Consider the following 3722-nt stretch of genomic DNA (forward strand, 5'->3'; position numbering starts at 1 on the left):
GAAACCAGGCATGATTTGAAGATATGCAGTGGGGAAGGTAGAGATAACTGAGAAGAGAAACTGAAGTTTAGATTCTGGTCTTGGCACTTGTGACCCAGGACTTGTGTTGTTTTGAAGGCCATCAGAAAATAGTTGCCACATATTGGTGCTACTGTATTGTAGATGCCATGTATGCATTGGACAGCTCCTTTCTGAGTGCCCATGCACAAAGCCCTGCTTTATGGGACAGCAGATAAGATGATCAGAGCACAGTTTAGAAACTCAAATACGTAAAATGGACTATTATCAAGGTGTTAATGAGGGGGTAAGTATCAATGTTTATACTACCATAAGATTCTTGTTTGCTTTACAAAAGAATCTTAGTTCTGTGATTCCCTATCTGGGTTTGCAGAACACTCTGGGCAGTGGGTTGTTGCAACAAGTTCACAAATTCATGAGTTCACCAAGAACAAGTAATAGGTCTTACACATAAGTGCATGACTATCTTTAAATACATATAGATGATAATATGATTAAGATTAAAAAACACAAACTATTACTGATTTCAGTTGCTTTTTAGCTTTCTAGCAGCTGATCTTTAAAGTGTTTCTGTGTTGCCATCCTACAGGAATTCACATAATGCCTTTACAGTAAGATGTATCTTCATGATTTTTTTTTGTTTAAACATTTTAAAGTAATTTAAAAATAAGAACAAATTATCGTATATGTATTCACATATTTATCATTTCTAGTGCTTTTCAGTCCTTTGTGTAGATCATAATTTCCATCTGGTACCATTTTCTTTCTGATGGACTTCCTTTTACATGTCTTATAGTATGTGACTATGGGTGATGAATTCTTCCAGCTTTTTTACATCTGAAATAAGTCTTTATTTAACCTTTGTTTTTGAAAGATATTTCCAGTGGGTATAGAGTTCTAGGCTGACTGTTTTTCTTTCAGTACTTTAAAGATGTTGCTTCACTATTTTCTGGCTTTCCGTCTGCTGTCATTCTTAGCTTTGTTCCTTTGTACTTGATGTATCTCTTTCTTCTGGCTGTGTTAAAGCTCTTCTCTCTATTACTGGTTTTAGGCAATTTGATTATGATGTACCTTGGTATTCTTGTATGGGGTTCATTGAACTTGTTGGAACTGCGGGTTTATTTTTTTCACCAAATCTCATTAGGCTGCTTAAAATTATCTCACAGTTCACTGATGCTCTGCTCATTTGTTTTTCCAGTCTTATTTTCCAGCTTCATTTTGAATAGTTTCTGTTGCTGTGTCTTCAAGTTCATGAATCTTTTCTGCTGCAGCTCTAATCTACTGTCAAGAGGATGTGTAGTAATCTCTCTTCTAACTCTGCATCCTAGTCTTCCAGTTCCCCTATACAGAGGCAACTACCGTCACCGATTTATTGGGCTTTTTTTCCAGAGATGATGCATATTTTTAAAGAGATAAAGATACATATTCCTTTTCCTCCCATAACAGCATACTATATATACTGTTAAACACGTTACTTTTATCTTGATATGGTGCTTGGATATGTTTCCTTATAGAGATGGTGCGTTCTTTTTAATGACTGCATAATATTTCTTTTGTGGGTGCACCATAGTTTAACTTTCACATTTTAGATTACTCTCTGTTATTTTCTAAGCGAGAGAATTATCTTAAAGTCCAGATATGATGTGAGAATGTAGGCATGTTAATAGCAGATGCCTCTGTTTCAGTAATGTTCAATTACTTTTTTCCTGTGAGTTCCAGAGAGGCTGCTGGAATGTCCCTGCTCTCCACAGATATATTTATGGTTTTTTTTTCTTAGTATCATAGAATGTGGCATATTATAGGCTGGGGCAAAAGGTGGGTAGGTATATGGTAGGGCACTCCAGGAAGCCAAGAAGCCTGATCACTTGTTTCACGTAGCACTAAGAGTCTTACTGCTCTCCCTAAGCAGGTGTGCAGAACCCTGCCAGTTCTAGCTCTACTCCCCACAGTATCCTCACAGTTCACGGGGAGATTGACATGTTTCAGTGAGTAAGTGACAAGATAATGCTCTTGAGAAAACGAAGGCAAACCCCAGACAGAATCGGAGATGCTGAGGCCAGGCATAGTAGCTCATGCTTGGGAGGCTAAGGCAGGAGGATTGCTTGAGCCCAAGAGTTCAAGACCAGCTTAGGAAACATAGTGAAACCCCCGTGTCTACAAAAAATTAAACACAAATTAGCAGGGCATGGTGGTTCATGCCTGTAGTCCCAGCTACTTGGGAGGCTGAGGTGGGAGGATTGCTTGAGGCCAGGAGGCCGAGGCTGTAGTGAGCTGTGACTGCCACTACTCTCTAGCCTGGACGACAGAGCGAGACCCCGTCTCAAAAAAAAAAAAAAATCATAGTTCATGGAGTGAGAGAGAGGAGTGAAATTGTGTTTGAGTGCCACTGAACCTGACATTCCTGGAGTTGCTTCTTCATGTTGTTCTTTTTAAAATTTTTGAGATATTCTACTATTAACTCTTTTGCTTAAACTGGTTTGATTCAGTTTTTTCTCATTGTACTTTTTAGGATGATTTTGGTAACAGGGAACCCATGTGTTATCCCATGTGTTATGGTCTGAGTCGTGTCCCCGACCCCCCAATTCCTATGTTGAAGTCCTAACTCACACTACTTCAGAATGTGACTGTATTTAAAGATAGGACCTTTAAAGAGGTGATTAAGTTAAAATGAGACTGTTGGGGTGGGCCCTAATCCATGACGGCTAATGTCCTTGTAAGAAGAAAACATATGAGCACACAGGAGAGACACAGGGATGTGTGCATGGAGGAAAGACTATGTGGGGACTCAGATGGCTGGAACTGGGGCTGCAGGGGCTGGTAGATCCACTTCCAGCTTCTTCACTCATGAGTCTAGAACCCTGTGATGCTGGAAGGCTGGGCTTAGCTAGGACTGTCAGCCAGAACACCTACACTTAGGCTTCTCCAGCTTGCTGGTCTCAGCAAGAAGGTGGCTATCTGCAAGGAGGGAGGTCTCAGGAGAAATGCCTTGATGTTGGATTTCTAACCTCCAGAACTATGAGAGCATACATTTCTGTTGTTTAAGATACCTAGTCTGTAGTACTTTGTTATGACAGCCCTAGTTGACTAAGATGCTACTTCAAAAGAGCTTGAACACTAGAGGAACGAATTAGTTCATGTAACCAGAAGCCCAGAGATAAGGCAGCTCCAGGGTTTGTTAACTTAGCCACTCAGGGCTGCCTCAAGGAGGAAGTTTTTCCATCTTTTTACTTTGCCATTTGTACCAGTTACTTTTGCTGCCTAAACAAATCACCCTAAAACATAGTGGTATATAAATCCACTTGTTATGCTCATGGATTTTGTGGGTCAAGACTTCTGTCAGGGCACAGCAGAGATGGCTGGTTCCTGTTTCACGATTCTGGGCCCTCTGTGGGAGGTACCTTGAGAGGCTGGGTGTGATCTGAATGATTGAAGATGACTCAAATGGCTGGGAACTGGGACAGCTGGGGCTGGAAGAGCCACTTCCAGTTTCTTCACTCACGCATCTAGAAACCTGTGATGCTGGAAGGCTGGCCTTAGCTGGGACTGTCAGCCAGAATGCCTACACTAGATTTCTCCAGAGTGGTGGTCTCAGGGTTGTCAGACATCTTACATGACAGATGGCTTTCCTCAGAACAAGCATGCCGGCAGTGAGTGCTCCAAGAGAATCAGGCAAGCATGGCACAGCCTTTTATGCCCTAGACCAC

Source organism: Homo sapiens, chromosome 5 (genome assembly GCF_000001405.40).
Source record: "Homo sapiens chromosome 5, GRCh38.p14 Primary Assembly".
Lineage (NCBI taxonomy): Eukaryota > Metazoa > Chordata > Mammalia > Primates > Hominidae > Homo > Homo sapiens.